The sequence below is a fragment of the Homo sapiens genome, chromosome 3 (genome assembly GCF_000001405.40).
Source record: "Homo sapiens chromosome 3, GRCh38.p14 Primary Assembly".
Lineage (NCBI taxonomy): Eukaryota > Metazoa > Chordata > Mammalia > Primates > Hominidae > Homo > Homo sapiens.
The window spans coordinates 149,085,857-149,112,513 of NC_000003.12; the positions used below are offsets into that span (position 1 = coordinate 149,085,857).

The 26,657-nt window shown below is 42.8% G+C and overlaps 1 protein-coding gene, 1 long non-coding RNA gene and 1 pseudogene across 10 annotated transcripts in view, besides 4 other annotated features; 1 reads left to right on the forward strand and 2 right to left on the reverse strand.

Moving 5' to 3' along the window:
• Window positions 1–677, reverse strand: part of HLTF (helicase like transcription factor) — a 56,471-nt gene extending 55,794 nt beyond the window's left edge. For all 9 annotated transcript variants that reach the window (NM_001318935.2, XM_017007079.3, NM_001318934.2 and 6 more), the window contains exon 1: window positions 461–677. In NM_001318935.2, coding sequence (NP_001305864.1) covers window positions 461–480 — 20 coding nt within the window. In that variant the 5' untranslated portion in view covers window positions 481–677. The remainder of the gene's footprint in view (window positions 1–460) is intronic.
• Window positions 4–521: an enhancer, noted in NCBI's record as "OCT4-NANOG-H3K27ac hESC enhancer chr3:148803647-148804164 (GRCh37/hg19 assembly coordinates)". NCBI's record gives its function as "activates a minimal SCP1, AML or CMV promoter by ChIP-STARR-seq in naive H9 embryonic stem cells {active_cell/tissue: H9 hESC(naive)}" and the evidence as "EXISTENCE:reporter gene assay evidence [ECO:0000049][PMID:30033119]".
• Window positions 4–1,039: a biological region, named in NCBI's record as "OCT4-NANOG-H3K27ac hESC enhancers GRCh37_chr3:148803647-148804164 and GRCh37_chr3:148804165-148804682".
• Window positions 427–636: an enhancer, noted in NCBI's record as "active region_20678". NCBI's record gives its function as "activates an Ori minimal core promoter by ATAC-STARR-seq in GM12878 lymphoblastoid cells {active_cell/tissue: GM12878}" and the evidence as "EXISTENCE:reporter gene assay evidence [ECO:0000049][PMID:35858748]".
• HLTF-AS1 (HLTF antisense RNA 1) lies at window positions 476–16,967 on the forward strand. The gene is made up of 3 exons (NR_046648.1): window positions 476–622; window positions 13,645–13,675; window positions 16,731–16,967. It is a non-coding gene; the product is annotated as an HLTF antisense RNA 1 (long non-coding RNA).
• Window positions 522–1,039: an enhancer, noted in NCBI's record as "OCT4-NANOG-H3K27ac hESC enhancer chr3:148804165-148804682 (GRCh37/hg19 assembly coordinates)". NCBI's record gives its function as "activates a minimal SCP1, AML or CMV promoter by ChIP-STARR-seq in naive H9 embryonic stem cells {active_cell/tissue: H9 hESC(naive)}" and the evidence as "EXISTENCE:reporter gene assay evidence [ECO:0000049][PMID:30033119]".
• On the reverse strand, window positions 13,643–13,959 carry MED28P2 (mediator complex subunit 28 pseudogene 2; annotated as a pseudogene).
• Window positions 16,968–26,657: the final 9,690 nt, after the last annotated feature.

The window sequence follows — 26,657 nt, forward strand, 5'->3', positions numbered from 1 at the left end:
GCTTATTTGCGATGCGTTTTCCTTGCAAGTGGCGCATATCTCTACTAGCGCCTCTGCAAATACTTATCTGCACGTCTGTGCATACAGATAAGCTGTGAGCCACTTGGGGACAAGGACTGTCTTACTCGGCCCTCCACCGAGCACAATGCCTGGCGCACAGTGGGTATCTAATGGATGTTTTGTTAAATAAAGCACTGGCCGAGATGCTTTAAGCCCCAGGCCCCCCACAGTCGGTGACAGAGATTTCCCAAGTCCCTAACACGGGACTCGCCCTAGGAGCCCCTACTCGCCAGCGAAGACAATGCATTTATTTCTCCGGCGGCCACATATGCGACCAACAGAACGAATACAGCTGCACAAATCGCCCAGGGAACGCAGAGGAACGCGGGGAAGGTCAGGTTCATTTGGGGACGCCTCCAGGCCGTTAGACCGAGCGCCCCACCCCCTCCGCCCCCTTCACCTCTTGAACATCCAGGACATGGCGCTGAGTGGGATGACAAGAGGAGCGCCTCGGCTCCCCTGGATCGTTTTCGAGCCGCCTCGATACGCCTCCTTCCAGGCCCCGCAGCCCTGAAGCCGGGGACAAATTCCGAGCGCCGGATCAGGAGCGCACGACTGAAAGGTAAGTCGCCGCGAGTCCAGTCAGACGTCGACGCCGTCTCCTTCTGCAACAATCTGGGAGACCAGCGTCGCTCTGTGACTGGCACTAGGAAAGCCCAATCACGAAGAGGAGAGTGCGGAGCCAAACCAGTCAGAGCACAGAAGGGAGGGCAACTCCGCCCCGCTGCCATTCAAAGACGGCGGGGGGTCCGGGCTGCAAGGGTGGTTCCATCCGGGTTCTTCCCCGCCCCCAAGGCGGGCGCGCGGGAAAGCCACGAGGCCCCAGGAGTGCGACTGCGGTGCCTGCGGTGCCGGTGTTTTGTTTGATTCCCTGCCTCAAACGGAGGGAAACGACCTTCCTTTATCCTACGAGTCCTAAGACTGAACCCCATTCTAAAGGCTCTACCGTATCCTTCCTCTTATTTTCTTCTCATCTAATGTGGCACATAATAGGGCCTTATACTAAAGGAGCTCCACGGTTTACGAGACCTAGAGCTACCGGCGAGATACTTTACTTCATTCCCTGTGGTGAACCGTGGGGACTTTCGCTCCAAATTTTCATGTTAAGCCTCAGCGTATGCATGAGACACAACGAGTTTGGAAAATCTTAAATGGAACTTAGAGTCCCCTCCCCACCTCTTTTTGTTATTTTTAAGGAAAATTTTCCTTTCTTGGTGCAGGAAACCCATCACATGTTTATTACAGCTATGGGGGCGTTTGCCTGAAATGGTGGACGGGACCATTTTCCCCGTGGGCACTTGGCTGCTCCAGCCAAGAGGGGGAGGCCCTTGTTTTCCTCAAGGAACTGCAGAGGGGCGCTCTGAGGCCCTCCATGGCTCTCTTTCCAGAGTCTGAGGTGACCGGAAGGAGAATGCGGCCCTGGGACCGTCAACCTTGGACCAGCTGCAGCCGACGCCTGGCAGGGCTGGTCGCTTTGCGTTGAGGAGGCTGCTGTCCCCGAAGCTGGCCTTTTAATCGCACAGGGCAGGAAGCTGGTGGTGGCGCCCAGCTGCACAGGCGGCACCATGTAACTGCCAGATAATACTTGCGCGTCACAGAGAGGTCCATGTTACACGCCTGTCAGCACAATAATATTAGGTGGTCAGCTTTTCTTTTTTCTTTTTTTTGTTTTTTTTTCTTTTTTATTGAGATGGAGTCTTGCTCTGTCCCCCAGGCTGGAGTGCAATGGGGGTGATCTTGGCTCACTGCAACCTCCGCCTCCCGGATTCAAGCGATTCTCCTGCCTCAGCCTCCGGAGTAGCCGGGATTGCAGGAGCCCGCCACCACGCCCAGCTAATTTTTGTATTTTTAGTAGAGACGGGGTTTCACCATATTGGCCAGGCTGGTCTTGAACTCCTGACCTCAGGTGATCCGCCCGCCTCGGCCTCCCAGAGTGCTGGGATTACAGGCATGAGCCACCGTGCCAGGCCGGTAGTCAGCTTTTCAAGACACATTTGTTCATTATCGTAAATAAACTGTAGTGATCTCTAATCATGAACCATGGATGAGCAATAGAATTTGAAACAATGTATTATTTCATTTGACCAAAGTTGATGAGGAAGATAAAGACAATGGCATTTCAAATTATTTTAATTGTTGTATGTTCTTCTTGAAGTGTGTTGAGGCAAATGGCAATACAGTTCAGCTTTTAGTATGCCAGATTTTAAATAAATTCTTGGAAAATATGCCAGAAATTGCTCAAATTGATGTTTTGTAAGAGTAAGAAAGTCATGCTCACTAGACAAAGAAAAAATTCCAAATATGAGAACATAGCTCTTTCAGACTTAAGACTGGCCAGGCGCAATGGCTCACACCTATAATCCCAGCACTTTGGGAGGCCGAGTTGGGTGGATCACCTGAGGTCAGGAGTTCGAGACCAGCCTGGCCAACATGGTGAAAGCCTGACTCTACTAAGAAAATACAAAAATTAAGCAGACGTGGTGGCACGCACCTGTAGTCCTAGCTACTTGGGAGGCTGAGGCAGGAGAATCGCTTGAACCAGGGAGACATGGGTTGCAGTGAGCCGAGATCAAGCCACTGCACTCCAGCCTGAGCAACAGAGCGAGACTCCATCTCAAAAAAATAAAAAGACTTAAGATCTATGAATAATGACTGTCCCATGGTTAAAGAATGTGCTTTGAATGAACTAAAATTTGCTATTTAAAGGAATGGTATGGAAAGGAAAGGAATCCAAAATTTCTCCATCCAGCCACTTCCCAGTCACAAACACACTTCTCATCTGCACCCCCAGCCACACACACACACATGCCCGCGCGCGCGCACACACACACACACACACACACACACACAGAACCTTTATGCAAATTAATCATGTCATGTCACTCCCCTGTTTGATTCAGTGAGCCTGAAATCCAAGAATGGCATATGTGGCTCTTCCTCCCACAGTATGTTTTCTCTATGTTATCAATATTTCACATCCCAGAACCAGGAGTAAAACATTCTTTCCCTTAATCATTCTTTGTTTTATATTTAAAGATCAAGTACAATTTGTACTAGTTTGATTAAAATGTTACAGCAATTACAATTTCAAAACTATTATACTAAATAATGTTTTCTGAAAAATTAACTTTTTTGGTTTTTTCTTGATTTATTCTGATAACAGCATCACAAGTAGATATGAAAAATGAACACTTGTAACTGGAAAATGAACTGTAGGGTGGCTTGTGGGGTTTGGCTGGTGAGTAAGAAGGAAAGTGGCACTAAAAGGACGGTGGGGAAGATAAGGGCCAGGTTACATAGGAACTTAAGAGTCTCCAGTAAAATTTGTGTTTTAACTGCAATGGAAAGCCATTGAATGTTTCGAGCAGGAGGATAACGACTTGATTTAGGCTTTTAAAAATGCTGGCAGCTCTGTGGAGAATTACAGGAAACAAGGATAGAAGCAACTGATAGAAAATTATTGTGTTCAGATAAGAGATGGTGGTGGCTTGGAAAGGGAAGGTGATGAAGCCAAGAGAACCAAAATGTTCACTGATAAATTTAGGTAGGAATGGTATGGAAAGGAAAGGAATCCAAAATTTCTCCAGCCAGCCACTTCCCAGTCACAAACACACTTCTCATCTGCACCCCTAGCCACACACACACATGCCCGTGCACACACACACACACACACACACACAGAACCTTTATGCAAATTAATCATGTCATGTCACTCCCGTTTGATTCAGTGAGCCTGAAATCCAAGAATGGCATATGTGGCTCTTCCTCCCACAGTAGCTTCATTTCTCGGGTCACTTCCCAACCCACCCTGCCTATAATGGCCTTCACTAATTTCTCTAAAAACCATGGACCTGGCAAAATTAATAACAAATCACTTCTTAGTATCTTCTAATAACTAGTTCATAATCAAATGTTCACAATTGTCTCAAAAAAAAAATTTTTTTTTTTCTTGAGACAGGGTCTCACTCCAGTAGCCCAGGCTGGAGTGCAGTGGCGTGATTCGACCTCCTGGGCTCAAGCGATTCTCCAGCCTCAGCCCCCAAGTAGCTGCGATTACAGGCATGGCACCACCACCCCCAGGCTAATTTTTGTATTTCTTGTAGACAGGGGGTTTTGCCACATTGGCCAGGCTGGTCTCGAACTCCTGAGCTCAAGCAATCTGCCCGCCTTGGCCTCCCAAAGTGCTGGGATTACAGGCGTGAGCCACTTTTTCTAGGCCTTTTCTAGGCTGGGTGTGGTGGCTTACGCCTGTAACCCTGGTATTTTGGGAGGCCGAGGTGGGCAGATCACTTGAGGCCAGGAGTTCAAGACCAGCCTGGCCAACATTGTGAAACCCTGTCTCTACTACAAATACAGAAATTAGCAGGGGGTGATGGTGCCATACCTGTAGTCCCAGCTACTTGGGAGGCTGAGGCAGGAGAAGCACTTGAACCCAAGAGGCGGAGATGGCAGCGAGCCGAGATCGTTCCACTGCACTCCAGCCTGGGTGACACAGCGAGACTCCCTCTCAAAAAAAAATGTTTTTTACACTTTGCAAAATAGAATTTTAAAGCCATTGGTGTGGGGGCAGGGACCAGGCAGCAGGGAGGGGCTTTAAGAGAAGAATCTGAATATCTAGAAATCTGGCTTCAATACAGAAACTTTTAAGCTTATATCATAACTCATAGACTGAAGAAAGTAGGATGATGTAAGAGCTTGCTTGTTTGTTCGCTTCTTTCACTCCAAAGGAGATAAAAGTTCAATTGAGGAGAATTTTCAAGAATGTCAGGCAGGAGGGTTTGCAGAGTAAATCCCTTAAGTGGGTCTTAGAGAGAAGACCTAGAATACCATCACACTGGGCCAATCTGCACAAAGGGAGAATGCTAGAAAGTCTAGCAAAGTTTCTGTAGATTACACAAGAAAAGGAAGCTATGCCACATTTCCCAGAGAGTGGCCTCAGTATTCTGCAGATCTCAGAGAGAACCTCAGAGACTAGAAATGTGCCAAGGCAATAAAGGAGTAAAGGTGACTGAGGTGGCTCTGTTAAGGGGACCCGGGGTAGCCTTGTGAGCCTCTAGCCCTGTGAAGGCTGGAGGGCATCATCAGGATTATGGTTCTAGCAAACAAAAGCAGGATGCTGGTCCCCAACGGTGAGGTGAGATGAGTTACATCTGCAATGGGTGACTGCATTAGATGAATGGAGTCCAAATATAACCTCCCTGGTGGGTAAGACGAAGGGAACTAAATCTGAAAGCTGAATTTAAATGACTTTAAATCTTAAAATGACTGAACTATTCAGAAGTGACTAAATTAGGTTACCTGCCATTAGGCAGAATGAAGGTTTAAGAAAAATTAAGTTCAATAAAGAAATATAAAGTTTTACATTTGCAAATATAGTCAGTGATTGAAATTCATACATGCTATATGTCCATATGCACACATCTTGATGAAGATATACCTAGATATTTATAGTAAATACCTCTAGCTGGTTAAATTAGGGAATTTTCATTTTCTTCTTTTTACTTATATGTATATAAAATATTTGCTACATTAAACATGTATTTCTTTTTGCCATAATAAAATAAAATGAGTAATTTATTAAAGAAATGATGAACTATTATTCAGCTTTATTTTTATCTAATTGTAGACTTACAGAAAATTACAAATTTAGTACAAATTGTTGCCTCATATCCTTTATGCCACTTATTTTAATACCGTACATAACTATAGTACAATGACCAAAATGAGGATATGAACATTGGTACAATACTATTTCTGAACCATTTTTTTAAATAACCAAGACAATGCAGTGGAAAAGAAAATATAATATTTTGTGACTTATTAAATTTTCTTATAATCAGGTTTCTCTAGATTTTGGACAAAATCCTGAGTAAAACCACAGCTGACAGGGCCAAAGTGATATTAAATTAATGCCAAGTAAAAATCTTCTTAATTAAATAATATAATGAATATGAAGTGCTGCCCTGGAGTAAGCACTCAGTAAGTGCTCTTATTGTTGTAATAGAGTTATTGTCTAACGAGTCCTCTAGCACTTAAGAAATATGGTTGATTGAGGCCTATTTTCCTTATTGAGGCTCAATCAGCAGGGTTGTTCCTAAATAGCAGAATAACACTGTTTCCAGAAGCCAGTCATTTTTCCAGGTGCACGTCCTTGAAGTAGACTGAATTGTTTCATCAAGCGGTAGGAGACACTCTAATCTCAACTCCGCGTCTGAGAAATCTGTGGTGTTCCAGATTATATAGCCCTTTCCCAGGAGATAATTGTTCCCTCCTCCTTTAGGCCTTGACTCACTAAATGCTCTTATGTGGCTCAAGCCCAGGGTTGCAAGGCATCAGGCCAGCCAGGGATCTGCCCCCTCCTTTGCTTTCTGCCCAGGGTCCTTTCCCCAGCTTCAGGGAAGTACCACTCTAGGCCCTGGAATGATTTAGGGTTTCTGTCATGGCCATACCAAAGTAATCTTTTTATTTTAATGAAAACTGCAAGGATTAATAAACATTTTTTCTGCCTCCTTTTTTTTTTTCCTCTTTTAAGACAGGGTCTTGCTCTGATGCCCAGGCTGGAGTGCAGTGGCACAAACAAGCTCACTGCAGCCTCAAACTTCTGGGCTCAATTGATCCTCCTACCTGTCTCCCAAGTAGCTGGGCCTACAGGCATACACCACCATGCCCAGCTAATTTTGTTTGTTCGTTTTTTTTTTGGAGAGACAGGTTGCCCAGGCTGGTCTTGAACTCCTGGGCTCAAGTGATCCTCCTACGCTCCTACCTCGGCCTCCCAAAGTGCTGGGATTACAGGCATGAGCCACACGCCCAGGCTTTCTGCCTCCTTTATGGCTAGAACATTAAAACTTCAACTCTAAATGCCCTTTTGATATAAGAAATACTACCTTTTTTTTTTTTTGACAAGAGTCTTGCTCTGTTGCCCAGACTGGAGTGCAGTGGTGCGTTTAGCTCACTACAACCTCCGCCTCCTGGGTTCAAGCAATTCTCGTGCCTCAGCCTCCCGAGTAGCTGGGACTACAGGTGCACGCCACTACGCCTGGCTAACTTTTGTGTTTTTTGTAGAGATGGGGTTTTGCCATGTTGCCCAGGCTGTTCTCAAACTCGTGCGCTCAAACAGTCTGCCTGCCTCAGCTTCCCAAAGTGCTGGGGTTACGGGCATGAGCCACTGCACCCAGCCTAGAAAGTGAGCAATTACATCGTAGTAGTAATTCACTGGTTTTCTTTTTTCTTAGAAAATAGGTTTCACTATGTTGCCCAAACTAGACTCAACTCAGGCTGCCCTACCAACTCAGCCTCCCAAGGAGCTGGGACTACAGGCATGGGCCATCTCACCTGGCTGTAAATGACTTTTTAAAATTATTATCACAATTCACCAAACTATTGCATCGTATGGCAATACTTATGCTAACCCTAAAATTAAGGTTTAACTTGCTAACTTGCTATTTCAAATAGCCTTTTAGAAAGTTAAGAAAAAAACCTCACAAAAAAACACATTTCTCAAATTTGAAGAAGAAAAGTAGGGTGCTGTGGCTCAAACTTGTAATCCAAGCATTTTGGGAGGCCAAGGTGGGAGGATCATTTGAGCCCAGGAGTTTGAGACCAGCCTGTGTAACACTGCAAGACCCCATCTCTATAAAAAAAAAAAACACAAAAATTAGCCAGGCGTGGTGGCACACACCTGAAATCCCAGCCACTTGGGAGGCTAGGGAGAAAGGATGGCCTGAGCTCAGGAGGTAGAGGCTGCAGTGAACTGTGTTTATGCCACTGCACTCAGCCTGGATAACAGAGTGAGGCCCTGTCTCAAAAAATAAAAAAAATAAAGCATTCCAATAGATTTTTAGAGGAACTTAATCTGATCCAATAGAATTAGAAATTCTAAGAGACTCAAATTAATGAACTAATGAAGTTTTAGGGTTAGACTATATTGATATACTATGCTATAATTAATATATATATTAAATTAGCAAATACATGTTAATTATCTCAATTAATATTGAATTGCTAACTTTGTAACATTTACAAGTAAAATTTCTAGCCGGGTGTGGTGGCTCATACCTGTAATCCTAGCACTTTGGGAAGCTAAGGTGGGAGAATCACTTGAGGCCAGGAGTTCAAGGCTGCAGGGAGCTATGACCACTGCACTCCAGCCAGGGCAATGGAGAGGCTCTATTGCCAATAAATAAATAAATAAAATTTCCATTTCTCAAACATTTTTAGCTAAGGCATTGGGTTAAAGTGGAATAAGGTGGGATGCCCCCCAAGAGAAACATTAAAGCACCAATGACCTAGGTTAATGTATTGAAGTCTGTACAGCTGGCCGTAAATATTCGGAAAATTCAGCTTATCAGGAAACATCAATAGTTGGCTAAATTAGCAATCTATGAAAAAGAAGGATAATCAAAAAAGGACAAGACATATTTTTACTCATAAAATTAGTTCAGATTTTTTTAATTGCTGCAGTGAGAAGGAGGGAAAGAGTAGAACAAGGAGTTCGATCTGTAACTGACTGTAAACAATCAATTGAGATAACTCACTAACTTCGGACCAGCCAACTTTCGATTTTTTAAAAGAATTAGAAACACAGCTAGCCTGATATTTTAAGAAGACTTCTTCAAGATGTTTCTGGTAGAAAAGAAATGACTATGCACTTGTTTAAAATTTGCTATTTATTTGAACAAAAATTTGGATTTAGAAAAGAAACGGCAAAATTGGGATACAGGCCAGGTGTGATGGCTCATGCCTGAAATCCTAGCACTTTGGGAGGTGAGGCAGGAGGATCACTTGAGCCCAGGAGCTTGAGACCGCCTTGGCAACATGGCCAAACCCTGTATCTATAAAAAAATAGAATATTTAGCTGGGTGTGGCGGCATGCACCTATAGTGTAGTCCCAGCAACTCATGAGGCTGAGGTGGGAAGATCGCTTGAGCCTGGCAGGTCAAGGCTGCAGTGACCTGTGATCATGCGATTTTACTACAGCCTGGGCAACAGAGCAAGATCCTGTCTAAAAAACAAACCCTGGTACATATATTTTTTTAACTAGATACCAAATATAATTGTTCCCAATCTTTTCACCAAGTACCCCTTTATTGTAGAAAGATCATTTGATCAGTTTGTTCGGTTTTTAATCAAGAAATTTTAAAAGCCAATCAAAGCTTCTAATTAGCACTAACAAACTTGAAATAATTTGAGTAAAAACAATTTTAAAGGCTTTGTTTAACCTATACATTCTAATTAATGAGGTATAGTTAATCATATTTAACATCAAAAATAGGTAATGAATATTTTGCCAGGGGTTCCTGGCCTTAGGCTGGGAATTACAGATGATGCTATATATACACACAAACAAAAATACATGGCCATTAAGTATAAAAGGTAAGTAATGAGGCCTAGCATGGTGGCTCATGCCTGTAATCCCAGCAATTTGGGAGGCTGAGTGGATCCCTTGAGGTCAGGAGATCCAGACCAGCCTGGCCAACATGGTGAAATCCCATCTCTACTAAAAATACAAAAATTAGCCAGGCATGGTGGCACACGCCTATAATTCCAGTTACTTGGGAGACTGAGGCAGGAGAATCGCTTGAACCTGGGAGACGGTGGTTACAGTGAGCCAAACTCGTGCCACTGCACTCCAGCTTGGGCGACAGGCTGGATAAATAAATAAATAAATAAATGGTAAGTAATGAATTGTCCCTAAATACAGAAAGGGAAGTAATGCTTGTCTTTCATGAGCTTACAAAACAGAAAGGGGAACAGAAAGAGACAAAAATTACTAAACTACAAGGGAGATTAACAAAGTACAGTAATAAAGATAAAAAATATTGTGCTCTGGGAACAAGGCTTTGCCTTGGGTATTCTGAGCTTCAAGGACTAGGTGACAGCCAAGGGGAACCAGGAATGATGAGTGGATTTCAATCTTGTGTTGCAAATGGGTCTTCAGAGCCAAGTCACAGAGCCCACAGAAAAAATGATGGGTGGATGGAGTGTTTGTTTTGAGTTGAAGGACGTCTAATGAGAAACTATATAAAACAGTGAAATGAAAACTCCATCCAACTAAACCCAGAAACAGTGCAGTTTTGTATTCCTCAATATCAATTCAGAATAGGATCTGAGGTGGCTAATGAAAATAAAAAGGGTAAATATTTTCCTAAGCAGTAAGGCTTAACATGCTTTTTCGTGTGGTTAATTTGCTGAGTGGCCGTCCTGATGGCCACCACCCACCCCAGCAGCCCCTTCGAATCAATATTGCCTATTAGCAAAAATCTTCCTTAATGAAAATTTATTTCAGAAACAAAATTAAACAAAAACAAAACAAATGGAGAGACTATAAGGAGTTAAAGCAAACTTTAACTCCTTATAATTGGCCTATGTCCCCAACATATTTCCTCTCTTACCATCCCCCAAATCATTAAACATCACCAAAAGAATAAAATAAAGGTCCACATAAATCTAAGGATCCTACTGTAATACTACTACATAATTAGGATCTTGTTATCCTCCTTCTACCTATTTACAAAATATCCTCATTTGGAGAGCTAGGGAATCATTACAAATACTGCTGCTTTAGGGCCGGGTGTGGTGGCTCATGCCTGTAATCCCAAGCTGAGATGAGCGAATCACGACTTCAAGAGATTGAGACCATCCTGGCCAACATGGTGAAACCCTGCCTCTACTAAAAATACAAAAATTAGCTGGGCATGGTGGCACGCGCCTGTAGTCCCAGCTACTCAGGAGGCTGAGACAGGAGAATTGCCTGAACCCGGGAGGTGGAGGTTGCAGTGAGCCAAGATCACGCCACTGCACTCCAGCCTGGAGACAGAGCCAGACTCTGTCTCAAAAATAAATAAATAAATAAAAGTTGCTGCTTTAGATTTCTATATTTGAGATAGTTCAAAGTCCCGAAATAAACACAGCAAAATAACATATTTTTCTATACCACTGTGTCCGGAATTGGTGGGTTCTTGGTCTCGCTGACTTCAAGAATGAAGCCGCGGACCCTTGCGGTGAGTGTTACAGTTCTTAAAGGCGGCCTGTCCACAGTTTGTTCCTTCTGATGTTCAGATGTGTTCAGAGTTTCTTCCTTCTCGTGGGGTTCATGGTCTCACTGGCTCAGGAGTGAAGCTGCGGACCTTCACGGTGAGTGTTACAGCTCTTAAGGTGGCGCGTCTGGAGTTGTTTGTTCCTCCCGGTGGGTTCGTGGTCTCGCTGGCTTCAGGAGTGAAGCTGCAGACCTTCGCTGGTGAGTGTTACAGCTCATAAAGGCAGTGTGGACCCAAAGAGTGAGCAGCAGCGAGATTTATTGCAAAGAGCAAAAGAACAAAGCTTCCACAGTATGGAAGGGTACCTGAGCAGGTTGCCACTGCTGGCTCCGGCAGCCTGCTTTTATTCTCTTATCTGGCCCCACCCACATCCTGCTGATTGGTAGAGCCCAGTGGTCTGTTTTGACAGGGCGCTGATTGGTGCGTTTACAATCCCTGAGCTAGAGACAAAGGTTCTCCACATCCCCACCAGATTAGCTAGATACAGAGCGCGGACACAAAGGTTCTCCAAGTCCTCACCAGAGTAGCTAGATACAGAGTGTCGATTGGTGCATTCACAAACCCTGAGCTAGACACAGGGTGCTGATTGGTGTGTTTACAAACCTTGAGCTAGATACAGAGTGCCGATTGGTGTATTTACAATCCCTGAGCTAGACATAAAGGTTCTCCAAGTCCCCACCAGACTCAGGAGCCCAGCTGGCTTCACCCAGTGGATCCTGCACCTGGGCTGCAGGTGGAGCTGCCTGCCAGTCCCCTGCCGTGCACCTGCACTCCTCAGCCCTTGGGTGGTCGATGGGACTGGGTGCCCTGGAGCAGGGGGCAGCACTCGTTGGGGAGGCTCTGGCAGCACAGGATGGGGGGGGGTGGGGGGGAGAGATGGGGGGAGGGGGAGAGGTGGGGGAGGGGGAGAGCTGGGGAAGGGGGAGAGGTGGGGGAGGGGAGAGGTGGGGGAGGGAGGAGGGGAGGGGGAGAGGTGGGGAGGGGGAGGGGGAGGGGATAGGTGGGGGGAGGGAGGGGGAGGAGGGGGAGGGGAGGGGGTAGGGGGGTGCTCATGCATGCCTGGCTGCAGGTCCTGAGCCCTGCCCCACGGGAAGGCAGCTAAGGCCGGCGAGAAATTGAGCACAGCAGCTGCTGGCCCAGGTGCTAAGCCCCTCACTGCCCAGGGTCGGTGGGGCCAACCAGCGGCTCCAAGTGCGGGGTCTGCCAAGCCCACGCCCACCCGGAACTCCCGCCGGCCGGCAAGCACCACGCACAGCCCCGGTTCCCGCCTGCACCTCTCCTTCCACCCTCCTCACAAGCTGAGGCAGCTGGCTCTGGCCTTGGCCAGCCCAGAAAGGGGCTCCCACAGTGCAGCGGCGGGCTGAAGGGCTCCTCAAGTGCTGCCAAAGTGGGAGCCCAGGCAGAGGAGGCGCCGAGAGCGAGCAAGGGCTTTGAGGACTGCCAGCATGCTGTCATCTCTCACCACCACTGAAGAGTAATTATCCCCAAAGGCCTACCACCAAAGTCCTCATTTCCTCACACCGAGGCCAGTAGAATGCTTTTCCTCCAATCATGCAATTTAATCTATCAACTGAATATATACACAGAAATTAAAAGTCACACAAAAATCACAAGTTAAATGAAAAGCAAAAAAAAAATTCCACAAAAAAATCTGTAAGTGGCACCATATTAACAGACTAATAAAAGATCCAAAACTTACCTTTTTTTTTTTTTGAGACGGAGTCTCGCTCTGTCACCCAGGCTGGAGTGCAGTAGCAGGATCTCGGCTCACTGCAAGCTCCGCCTCCCACATTCATGCTATTCTCCTGCCTCAGCCTCCCAAGTAGCTAGGACTACAGGTGCCCACCACCAGGCTCAGCTAATTTTTTTTGTATTTTTAGTAGAGACAGGGTTTCACTGTGTTAGCCAGGATGGTCTCAATCTCCTGATCTCATAATCTGCCCGCCTTGGCCTCCCAAAGTGCTGGGATTACAAGCGTGAGCCACCGCGCCCAGCCACTTAGCTTTTTTAAAACTAAAGCTATAGTATTTTAGAAAGTACTTGATAAATTAAGTTTATAAAAATAGGGTAAGGCCGGGCGCGGTGGGTCACACCTGTAATCCCAGCACTTTGGGAGTCCAAAGCGGGCGGATCACCTGAGGTTAGGAGTTCGAGACCAGCCTGGCCAACATGGTGAAAACCTGTCTCTACTAAAAATACAAAAATTAGATGGGCATGGTGATGGGCGCCTGTAACCCCAGCTATTCAGGAGGCTGAGGCAGAAGAATCGCTTGAACCCAGGAGCCAGAGGTTGCAGTGAGCTGAGATTGTGCCACTGCACTCCAGCCTGGGCAATAGAGACTCCGTCTCAAAAAACAAACAAACGAAAAATAGGGTAAAAATGTGCTGAAAACTAAAACTGTCTCACACTTTACTGGTAGAGTCTTCCTGCAAAATGTTTTGTCTGCAAAAATTAATGTCTTATGAAACTCTCTTCTTAGGCTGAATCACACACAACATAATTTTCAAGCCAATTCACTTTGTATTTTTCTTCATGCTTGCTTCACAGGTGCAGGGATATTAGCAGAAGCCTTTTCCAGGTACATCAAGTTCTTTTGAGGAATTTCTGAAGGCTTTTGTGCTCCCTGTTGATGTTGTCCAGCACCTGCCTTTGTTTTATCAAATGTTTCTTGACCAGAGCATCTTTCCATTATAATTTATTCCTTATTGCCAACATATCCTTTTGGATGCCTTGCTCTGGTTTTCTGAAAGATAACTGCAATATTTTTTGGTAGGAAAATAAGTTCTGTCTTGCAATACCCAGAAACTTCTGGATACACTTCTCAACACCAGTTTGAATTTCTCCCTAATTAGTGCCATTAACAGTCATAAAAAATTAGTCCAAGACAAGTGATATCATCTTAAGCAAATGACAGGGAAGTTGCACACCTCACTGATGTTTCATATTCCATTGAAAAAAGTTTAGTCAGTGGAGTAGCCACTCCTGCAGCATGGGAGGCTAGGTAGTGATGTGCCTAGCTAGAAGTTTATTATCATGGAAGAGAGAACAGATTTAGGGGTACAACTAGTGATCTTCTACAAATCCTAATGTTCAATAACATAACTTTTGACGAGTATACAAGATGAAATGCAAAAGTTTTTTTATGGTAAAATGCCTATGTTACTGAATCAAAGTAACAGAAAAGATGCAAAATTAGAATCAGGAGTAGAGACTTTCTCTCTCTCTCTCTCTCTCCTCTTCTGCACATACAGCAGAAAGTCTATGTGAGCACACAGCAAGGTAGCTAGCTGCACACCAGGAGGAGAACCCTCACAGAACCCAACCATGGTACCCTGATCTCAGACTTCCAGCCTCCAGAATAGTGAGAAAGTACATTTATGTTGTTTCAGCCACCCAGTGTATTTTGTTATACAGCCAAACCTGACAAATATGGGTTTGTCTCTATATTTTCTTCTGTAGATTTTAACTACCATTTTTAAAAGCAAAAGTGTATTAGTAGAAGCTAGATAGTATTTACCATGTAGAAGAGATATTATGCAGAAAAACTTCATACAAACATATTTGAAAGTCTTAATGCTGTTATATAAAACAAATTAAATTTCTACACAAATACAAGAAACCAAAAGAAATGTAATTCCACATCAACTGTTATCCAAATATCTAGAACAGCATTGTCCAAAAGAACTTTCTACAATTATAGACATATTCTGTATCTATGCTTTCAATAGGGTAGTCACAAACTATGTGTGGTGGCTGAGTTCTTGCAATGTGGTTAGTGCAGCTATAGAATGAATTTTTTTTGAGAGTCCAGCTCTGTTGCTCAGGCTGGAGTGCAGTGGTGTGATTTCAGCTCACTGCAACCACTGCCTCCCAGGCTCATGTGATCCTCTCACTTCAGCCTCCCAAGTAGCTGGGACCACAGGTGCACACCACTACACCCAGCTAATTTGTTGTACTTTTGGTAGAGATGGGGCTTCACCATGTTGCCCAGGCTGGTCTCAAACTCCTGACCTCAAGCAATCTGACCATTTTGGTCCCCGCCAAGCGCTGGGATTACAGGCGTGAGCCACCACACCCAGCTGAAACCGATTTTTAAATTTAAGTTTAAATATAATTAAACACATGTAGCTAGTGACTACCACATTGGATGGCACAGATATAGAAGATACAACTTTGTACAATTTTTTCCAGCACCAGATCCAGTCAAAATTCGCAAGTTTTACTGCAGTATATCAGCTCATCCGTTCAATGATCTTTAGGGAAAATGGAGGAGGGAATATATAACCCACTGAAACTTCAGCAGTACATGTCCATGTTTCTCTAACATAAAACATCCATACCCTTCATCAGGATTTCCCAAACTGGACACTGTTGAAATTTTATTTATTTATTTATTTATTTATTTATTTATTTATTTATTTATTATTTTTTAGAGATAGGGTCTTGCTTTGTTACCCAGGCAGGAGTGCAGTGGGGCAATCACGCATCTCAACTCCTGCAGCCTTAAACTCCTAGGCTCGAGGGATCTTCCCACCTCAGCCCCCCAAGTAGCTGGGACTATAGGTGCACACCACCATGCCCAGCTAATTTTTAAAAATATTATGTAGAGACAACGTCATCACATTGCCCAGGCTGGTCTCGAACTCCTGAGCTCAAGCGATCCTCCTGCCTTGACCTCCCAAAGTGCTGGGACAGGCATAAGCCACAACACTCTGCCACTATTGAAATTTTAGACTGGATCATTCTTTGTTGTGAAGGGGAAATATCTGTCCTGTGCATTGTTGAAGGTTTAGCAGTATCCCTGGCCTCTATACGCTAGATACTAGTAGCACTCCTCCTGACCACTTGACAGTCAAAAATGTTTTTGGACATTGTCAGATGACCCGGTAAGAGGGGAGAAAAATCACTCTCCATTAAGAAACACTGCCTTACATGATCTCACTCACACATGACTTCCTTTTTTATTTAAAATAACACCACCTTCCAAACCTAACTCGATTGTAAATACCATCTATATGCTGATCACTCCCAAATATATATCTCTCCAACCCTGACTTTTTTTTTTCTTTTTTCTTTTTTCTTTTTTTTTTAAACTTTTAAGTTCGGGGTACATGTGCAGGATTTGCAGATTTGTTATATAGGTAAACATGTGTCATGGGGTTTCATTGTACAGATTATTTCATCACCCAGGTATTAAGCCTAGTATCCATTAGTTCTGTTGTTCCTGATCCTCTGCCTCTTCCCACCTTCCACTCTCCAATAGGCCCCAGTGTATGCTGTTCCCCTCTATGTGTCCATGTATTCTCATCATTTAACTCTCACTTAGGAGGACATGCCGTATTTGGTTTTTTGTTCCTGTGTTAGTTTGCTAAGGATAACAGCCTCCAGCTCCATCTGTTTCCCTGCAAAGGACATGATCTCATTCTTTTTTATGGTTGCATAGTATTCTATGGTTTATATGTACCACATTTTTTTTTATCCAGTCTATTAGGTTGATTCCATGTCTTTGCTATTGTGAATAGTGCTGCAATGAACATATGCGTGCATGTGTCTTTATGATAGAATGATTTATATTCCTTTGGTTATATATCCAGTAATGGGATTGCTGCATCAAATGGTATTTCTGTCTTTAGGTCTTTGAGGAATCACCACAGTCTTCCACAATGATTGAACTAATTTATACTCCGACCAGCAGTGTATAAGCATTCCTTTTTCTCTACAACCTTGCCAGCCACCTGTTTCCTTCTCCTAGATAAACTCCACCAAAGCAAGAACTTATATTGTTCACAGCTGATCCTATAGCACCTAGAAGAGGATCTAGTAAATATTAAATATTTGTTGATTAAATAAAGTAAATCACTTTTCCTTGCATCTAAGCATAATTTAGGAAAGTAATAACTTAAAAAATCAAATTCTATCCTACCATGAAACATGCTTTCTCCTGTAGATTCTTCTGTTATTATAGAAGTTGAGTATTCCTTACCCAAAATCTTAGGACAAGAAGTGTTTCAGGTTTGGGATTTTTTTTTTTTTTTTTTTTTTTGGTGTATCTGTGGCCAGGTGCAGTGGTTCACGCCTGTAATCCCACCACTTGGGGAGGCCAAGGAGAGAGGATCGCTTGAGCCCAGGAGTTTGATACCAGCCTGGGCAAGATGGTGAGACCCTGTAATTCCAGCTACTCAGGAGGCTGAGGTGGAAGGATCACTTGAGCCTAGGAGTTCGAGGCAGCAGTGAACTATGATCAACTCTACTGTACTCCAGCCTGGGTGACAGAAAGAGACCCTGTCTCTATTTTTTTAAAGGAATATTTGCATATACATAATGATATATTTTGAGGATGGGCTCCAAGTCTATATGTGAAATACATTTATGTTTCTTATATACTTGATACACATAGCTTGAAGGTAACTTCATACAATATTTAAAAGTATTTTGTGCATGAAACAAAATCTGTGTACACTAAACTATCAGAAAGCAAAGATATCATTCTATCAGTCACCCATGTGGACAATCTGTTTTTGATTGGCATCACTGTCATTCCTGATTCTGAATTTATATGCTACTGATAAGCAACCATTTTCTTACACTTATTTGCATGTAAGTACTTAACAGTAAAAAAAAAAAAAAAAAAAAAAAAGGGACATATCATTAAGATACTGAAAAAGGCCGGGTATGGTGGCTCACGCCTGTAATTCCAGCACTTTGGGAGGCCGAGGTGGGCAGATCACAAGGTCAGGAGATCGAAACCATCCTGGCTAACACAGTGAAACCCCATCTCTACTAAAAAAAAAATACAAAAAAATTAGCCGGCTGTGGTGGCAGGTGCCTGTAGTCCCAGCTACTCGGGAGGCTTCTGGAGGCTGAAGCAGGAGAATGGTGTGAATCCTGGAGGCGGAGCTTGCAGTGAGCCGAGATCGCGCCATTGCACTCCAGACTGGGAGAGAGAGTGAGACTCCGTCTCAAAAAAAAAAAAAAGACACTGAAAAAAACAATGTGTTGGAGGTAAGTAAGCAGCACAGTAGCATCACCAGAATGCCTATATCATCCATTAAACAACAACATCAACAAACAATGGCAGGCTTTCAGTCTCCACTTACAATGCTGTACAGGTGAGCCTTGAAAAAAAAACACAGATTTAAACTGTGCGGGTCCACTTATATGCAGATTTTCTTCCATATATGCCACCCCTGAGATAGCAAGAACAATCTTTCCTCTTCCTCTTCCTCATTCTTTGCCCACTTAATATGAAGATGACAAGGATGAAGACCTTAATGATGATCCACTTTCACTTAATAAGTAGTAAATATATTTTCTCTTCCTTATGATTTTCTTTATAAAATTTTCTTTGCTCTAGCTTACTCTATTGTAAGAACACAGCATATAATACATATGACATGTAAAATATATGTTAATCGACTGTTTTTGTTATTGGCAGTGGTTCCAGTCAACGGTAGGCTATTAGTATATAAATTCTGGGGGAGTCAGTTATATGTGGATTTTTTTTTTAATTGTGTAGGAGGTCAGTGCCCCAACCCCTGCGTTGCTCAAGAGTCAACTCTATTTTGATTAAAAGGTTGCTGTACACTGTATTTTATATTTTTAGATGGGAAGAAACATCAGAAACTGCTGAGGGACCAGGAAATGAGTTCTCAAGGGATAAGAAGGCATTCTGCTGGATGACTTTTTAAAATACTTCCTCCGGAGTCATCTGACTCATTAACAATAGTTTTTGTCTTAAAAGTCTCTGATTTTATAAACTGATATGATTATTGTTCTGTGATGAATGCATGCTACTCTAGTCCTTTTTTGTTTGTTTATTTGTTTTGTTGTTGTTTGTTTTGAGACACAGTCTTGCTCTCTTGCCCAGGCTGGAGTGCAGTGGTGCGAGTTTGGCTCACTGCAACCACTGTCTCCCAAGTTTAAGTGATTCTCCTGCCTTAGCCTCCCAAGTACTGGAATTACAGGCGTGTGCCATCATGCCCAGATAATTTTTGTATTTTTAGTGGAGACGGAGTTTCACCATGTTGGCCAGGCTGGTCTTGAACTCCTGACCTCAAATGATTCACCCACCTCTGCCTCCCAAAGTGCTAGGACTACAGACGTAAGCCACCATGCCCAGCCTTGCTCTAGTCTTTTGATAAGTCCATCACACATTTTCACCATGTTATCTATAGGCAGTTTTTCTGCAGTATAACAACGTCATCTTCATTGTCATGTTGGAGCTCAAAAAGATTTGGATTTTGGAGCATTTTGGAATTCAGATTTTTTGATTAGGGATTTTCTGATTAGGGATGCTCAATCTGTAATTGAAAAAAGACAATTGATAATCCCCCAAAACTTCTCAGAAAGCAATTTCTTATCCAACATTTTATTTTAGATATTTTAGACATTTTATCCAAATCACTGCTGTTTCCAGTGAGAACTTTTGCTGTAAATTACACAGAATACATCTAACATGTTTACTTTTAAGTAGAATAAAGTCATACAAATCTGACTGTCTTGATAAAAATTACAAACCTAGAGGAGGTCTCCTTCACTGGAATACATACAAAATGAATCATATTGTTACCAAAACACCATGGGTTCAGTCTAGGTCCTGCTGTTCACCACACAGAAAGCCAATCACTGAGACAACAATTATTGCCAAGGAAGAAAGTTTTCATCCAGTGCTGCAGTGGAAGAGATGGGAGATCAGTCTCAAATCCATCTCCCTTACCAATACAATTAGGAGTTTATATAGCAGGAAATAAATGTAACAGTGTGTTAGAAAACAGAAACTAGAAAGGGGTAAAGATACAAAATGAAGGGTCTGGCTTCTCACTGTCTGCATGTGGGGATCTGGTTTCAGTTCTTCGATACTTTTTGAGAGATCTGGGGGTCTTTCTTCCTGAGGAAGGAACTCAGAGAAAAACAAATACATGTTTCAAGCTTTAAGACCAGAAGGACCAGTTTCTACATTTATCCAAAAAAAAAAATCTATTGGGCTATTGGATTGGTCTCAATCCCTGCATTCTATTTATCAGTTCCTTTATTATGGGGAATCTGGTCATTGATCTTTCTGGCTGCTGAGGAGGGGAACTGTGGCTCCATATCTTGGGTGACCACATGGCCAGCTAGGAATCCAAGGTTAATCTAATACTATAGTTTTTTTCTGAAACACAATCTTTCTCTCTCCAGTTCCCCACTTCCACCAAAAACAAGTCACAGCAATACCAACCTACTTGCAAAATAAGCTTCTGTTACTATACTTGGCCTGGTTACCCCCACAAATACAGCAAGAATCATTGTCCATATAGGGCCTCCTAAACTGGCTTTGCTGGAACCTCTCACAAGGCCATTTCAGTCAAAATTCTGGGAAAATAACAAGTTCCTCCACCTGTGTGTCATTAGAAAAGAAAACAGGTTCTTATTAACCACATGCAAACAACCACATTGCCATGAATTAAGAATATTCACAAACAGTTTACAAATTCTGGAGAAATTAGGCAGAAAGAGAAATATGCCTCAAAGTCTGTTTACAAAAGTATATTCTACTCAGTATATTTAGGCTACAAATAGCTCAAAACAAAAAAATTTCTCCAGACTCTGAAAAAAACAAAAAGAATCAGCAATATTTCAAACAAAAAAAGCCATAAAAATTATTTCAGTCCTCCATTAGTTCAGTCCATACAGTTAACTCTTGCTCTGCTTCATAATGGGTTAGCAATCTTTATGAACATACCAGCCTTTCAATTAGTGCCCTGGAAGTTTTCTTTCTAATGTAATGGCACAATCTCCAAAGTTATCAGAAACCTGCACTCAGAGTCCTTTCATGAACTCCCCCAAAGAAGCAAGCCCTGGACTGTAGCTAATTATAAGTCACTTTTTGAGAAGGATCAAAGCAAAACAACAATTGTAGATGGCAAAACTTAGCATGGCCATAAAGACACAGTTGACAAGATAATTTGGTTATTTCCATGGCGTACAACAATTTAATAATCATAATTATTACTGACAACATATATTAAGACATACCAGAATTTTAGGAGTCTCATACAATCCTGGAATACATTGGCAACACATCTAGAAATATGACCCAAAGGAAGCTAACTATCACCTCAGATTTGACAATGCTTCCTGAATAATTCTAACAGAACAAATAAGCCTAATATATCTCTCTTGGAGAGAGACAGGTGACTTCAGGGAACCTAATATCCAAAAAAGTTTGTTTAAGGTCAAAAAGATTGAATTTAAAACCTGAAATTCCACTCTTGGAGTCTGTCAAAGGTTTAAGACACTTCATATCACAAAATAGGATCATAGGTCATTATGAAATAGTCATTCATCTAGCTGAAATGATAAAACAAAAATATTTACTCTTTGATAGACAGACTCAGTTTCCCAAACAATAACACCTAATAAACTCAACACGAAGCCAACTAAATGTGTCTCCCCCCGTCCATTTTTTTTCCTGCAGTTTACTTAAAAGGTAAACACAAATCTCTTAAGATCTCTTACGTGAAAATGTTGTTTAAAAGAGAAAACCAAATTTTACATTTGTATGGTATATTATTAATACTAAAGCTGATTTAAATAAAACCTTATAAACAAATCTATCTAATTTTAATCAGTTTGACCATAAAGTAAGATTTCCATAAACTTTTTTTTTTTTTTTGAGACAGAGTCTTGCTCTGTCACCCAGGCTGGAGTGCAATGGTGCAATCTCGGCTCACTGCAAGCTCTGCCTCCCGGGTTGATGCCATTCTCCTGCCTCAGCCTCCCAAGTAGCTGGGACTACAGGCGCCCGCCACAGCACCTGGGTAATTTTTTGTATTTTTAGTAGAGACAGGGTTTCACCAGGGTCTCGATCTCCTGACCTCGTGATCCGCCCGCCTTGGCCTTCCAAAGTGCTGGGATTACAGGCGTGAGCCACCGCGCCTGGCCTCCATAAACTTTTTATAACCTTTTACAATTTTTTATTAAATAACTGATTAATGCTCCAAGAAAACCCTGTTATTCTGACACACAGTCCCAGATGCTGGCTTGCATCAGTATGCTTTTGATATTAATGTTTAATTTACAGAAACACTCTAATCTTATTATTCAAAATCAGCACTTACAATCTCACGCGCCCACCTCTTCCACTATAGTCCCTGGGCCTAGAGGGATTGCTTAGTTTTAATTTCCAGCCCTGTGTCTCATGAAAGCAGTTAATTTTGATTGTTGCCTTCTCTTGCATCTGAAGACGATAGTTCAATTGGTGTCAATGCTCAAAATTTAAAGGGGTAAGTGCCTTCTTCAGATCCAGGAGTCAAAGCCCTTAACAGCACAAGCATTAGTTAACAGGATATTTATACTGCAGAAATTCCTATCACTCTCTCTAACATGTTACAAATTAAAACACTATAATTTGGTGTATAGGAGTTACTGCCTGCACCACTTCCAACCACCGTATTAAAGTAGTTAGATTACTCATGGCATGTGTCTAATTGCTAGCATTCTGTGATAGATCTATGACCAAAAGCATCAAAAAGTGATAGGTCCTATGCCAACTCACCAAAGTAAAACAGCTAACCTTTCTCTCCATCATTAAAAATAAAAAATAAAAATAAAAAGCAAATGCAAATATCAGTTCTGGAAACTCAGTATGAAGATAAATTATCTCCCTTCCCTTAAATTCTGTACTACAAAACAGGCACAAAGTAAGAACAAGCACACAATAATTTATTTTCAGCTATTTCAACGAGCATCATCATGCATTTCCAAGATTGGTTTGTAGATATAGTACTAACAACTGATTAGGTAACTTTCACCACTAAAATCTTCAAACCAATTTAACATTTGTACATATTTTATTTTCAAGTACACACATGAAGCCCTAACAGTGATAAAAAGCTTAGGATCAAAGATCACTAGAAAGTCTCCCCTTAAAAAAAAAATTACTACTTAATTGAAGTGACTGTCACTTAATTTTAATAATGGTTAATGCAACTAAAGCAATTACAGAGAAATCCTGGTCAATGGAATTCTTTAAGAACAAGGCTGGCTGGGCACAGTGGCTCATGCCTGTAATTCCAACACTTTGGGAGGCAGAGGCGGGCAGATCACCTGAGATGTGGAGTTCAAGACTAGCCTGACCAACATGGTGACACCCTGTCTCTACTAAGAATACAAAATTAGCCAGGCATGGTGGTGCATGCCTGTAATCCCAGCTACTTGGGAGGCTGAGGCAGGAGAATCACTTGAACCCGGGAGATGGAGGTTGCAGTGAGCCGAGATTGAGAGGTGATAGCGTGCTGGCAGCCCTTGCTCACTCTTGGCGCCTCCTCAGCCTCGGCGCCCATTCTGGCCATGCTTGAGGAGCCCTTCAGCCCACCGCTGCACTGTGGGGAGCCCCTTTCTGGGCTGGCCAAGGCCAGAGCTGGCTCCCTCAGCTTGCGGGGAGGTGTGGAAGGAGAGGCATGGGCGGGAACCAGGGCTGCGCAAGCGGGGCTTGCAGGCCAGTGCGAGTTCTGGGTGGGCGTGGGCTCGGCGGGCCCCACACTCGGAGTGGCCTGCCGGCCCCACCAGCCCCGGGCAGTGAGGGGCTTAGCACCTGGGCCAGCAGCTGCTGCTGCACTCAATTTCTCGCCGGGCCTCAGCTGCCTTCCCGTGGGGCAGGGCTCAGGACCTGCAGCCCACCATGCCTGAGCCTTCCCCCCTTCACCCCCTGCTGTGGGCTCCTGCACAGCCCGAGCCTCCCCAACGAGCACCGTCCCCTGCTCCACAGCCACCGGTCCCATCGACCACCCAAGGGCTGAGGAGTGCAGGTGCACAGCAGGGGACTGGCAGGCAGCTCCACCTGCAGCCCGGGTGCAGGATCCACTGGGTGAAGCCAGCTGGGCTCCTGAGTCTGGTGGGGACTTGGAGAATTTTTATGTCTAGCTAAGGGATTGTAAATACACCAATCGGCACTCTGTATCTAGCTCAAGGTTTGTAAGCACACCAATCAGCACCCTGTGTCTAGCTCAGGGTTTGTGAATGCACCAATCGACACTCTGCATCTGGCTAATCTAGCGGGGACGTGGAGAACTTTTGTGCCTAGCTCAGGGATTGTAAACACACCAATCAGCACCCTCTCAAAACAGACCAATCAGCTCTCTGTAAAACAGACCAATCGGCTTGCTGTAAAATGGACCAATCAGCAGGATGTGGGTGGGGCCAGATAAGAGAATAAAAGCAGGCTGCTTGAGCTAGCAGCGGCAACCCACTTGGGACCCCTTCCACACCATGGAAGCTTTGTTCTTTCGCTCTTTTCAATAAATCTTGCTACTGCTCGCTCTTTGGGTCCACACTGCCTTTATGAGCTGTAACACTCACCGCCAAGGTCTGCAGCTTCACTTTTGAAGCCAGCGAGACCACGAACCCACTGGGAGGAACGAAGAACTCCAGATGTGCCGCTTTAAGAGCTGTAACACTCACCGTGAAGGTCTGCAGGTTCACTCCTGCAGCCAGCGAGACGAGACCATGAACCCACCAGAAGGAAGAAACTCCGAACACATCCGACCATCAGAAAGAACAAACTCCAGACACGCCGCCTTTAAGAACTGTAACGCTCACTGTGAGGGTCTGCAGCTTCATTCTTGAAGTCAGTGAGACCAAGAACCCACCAATTCCGGACACAAGATCACGACATTGCACTCTAGCCTGGGTGACAGAGTGAGACTCCGTCTCCAAAAAAAAAGAACAAGGCTAATCTTTCCTGAACATTAAAACTTTGCACCCATATCACAGTTTGTCCTCATGACCTAAAGGAAAAGATCTGAAATCAATTCAAATTATTAAGTGAATTGAATTTCTTTGGAAACAAACACCATTTAGAAAATCTTATTCTCATCTACTTTTCCAAATAAGATATATAATGTACTATTTCTGCTTAGAACTTATAAAAGTCTTTTATGTAATTTTTTTCACCAGGAACCCTAAAGCTCTCATAGCTCTTGGGAGCATCAGAAGTAGCAAAACCAATCAAATTTCAAATACCTGGTATCCTCTATCAATTTTTAGAGGCTTGATAATGGTAGCTTAGGAATTTTTGGATAAATAGAGCAGATAGTGAATTCTTGGAAATCCATAGGAAACAAAATGACTATTCATAGAACCAAATAAAAGCCTTCCGTTAGAAACTAAAAAAAATCAATGGTGTTTTATGTGTTTATATAAGCAAAATGCAAAGGAGAAAAAACAGCAAATAAATGAAAATTAGAAGAAAAAAAAACAAAGAGGAAACCACTCCCCAATTTTTCTCTTACTTGGTTTACCCAGGAGGCTATAGTATTGCCCAGAGCCTACAAAAACAAATGATGAATATTTTGTTCCTGGTACACAATTTAATGTCTTTAAGTCCACCAATACCATTATGTATTTTTTGCAATTGAGAAATTCACTTTAGGTACATGACCAGTAAGTACTTTAGTGCTGAAACTGTCTATGCAGAATAGCAAAAATAGTGTGAAGCAATGCAAGCATATATGTGAAATTTGGCTCCATGCTAACTAAATCTGGCTTCATGCTTAACTTTATTAAAAAAGAATGGCCAAACTGCCAATGTATTTCTTTACAATATTTTCTTATTTTACTTTCTTCGAGATTAAGAACTTTATGAACAGTGTTAATTCACTGAATTTCTCCAATTTTCTATCAGCTTTTAAAGAATATTTTACTATCTAAGCTTTTTCAACTTTTTTTTTTTAAATAACCAGTCATTTTACTTTAGGACAAAAATTTACCTTACAATTTACCATCCTTTCTCATATGAAAGTATTCTCTTTTCTTTATACCCTTCCTTACCAAAAACACATCTTCATATCTGTAACTTTCTTTTTTTTCTTTTTTTTTTGAGAGGGAGTCTCACTCTGTAGCCCAGGCTGGAGTGCAGTGGCGTGATCTCGGCTCACTGCAAGCTCCGCCTCCCGGGTTCACGCTGTTCTCCTGCCTCAGCCTCCCAAGTAGCTGAGACTCCAGGCACCCGCCACCATGCCTGGCTAATTTTTTGTATTTTTAGTACAGACGGGGTTTCACCGTGTTAGCCAGGATGGTCTTGATCTCCTGTCCTCGTGATCTGCCCCCCTCGGCCTCCCAAAGTGCTGGGATTACAGGCGTGAGCCACCGCGCCCGGCCCATATCTGTAACTTTCTTCACATCACTCTCCCCTACCTACTGATTCCTTACTACTTTGTTTCACGAATAACCTTTTCAAGTCCATATTTTGAATTAAACTTTAGATAACTTCTGAATTAAATAAAAATTATTATTTTTCTCACTAAGAACACCTCTTTTTGGTACATTTTATATACAGAATAATATATTAACCATAATTCTTATCCCTAGACCTTAAATTTTAGCGAAAACCTAGGAAGCAAAAAATCCTGAGCTGCCTATCAGATATGATCATTTTATAGATGAAAACCATTCCACAATTTTTACAAATATGTTTCTCCATATCATAACCTTTTAATTGGAAATGATATCTAATGAGCATTAAAAACCATTTTAAGATTTTAAATTACACAAAAAATTCACCTACAACATTTATCCCATTT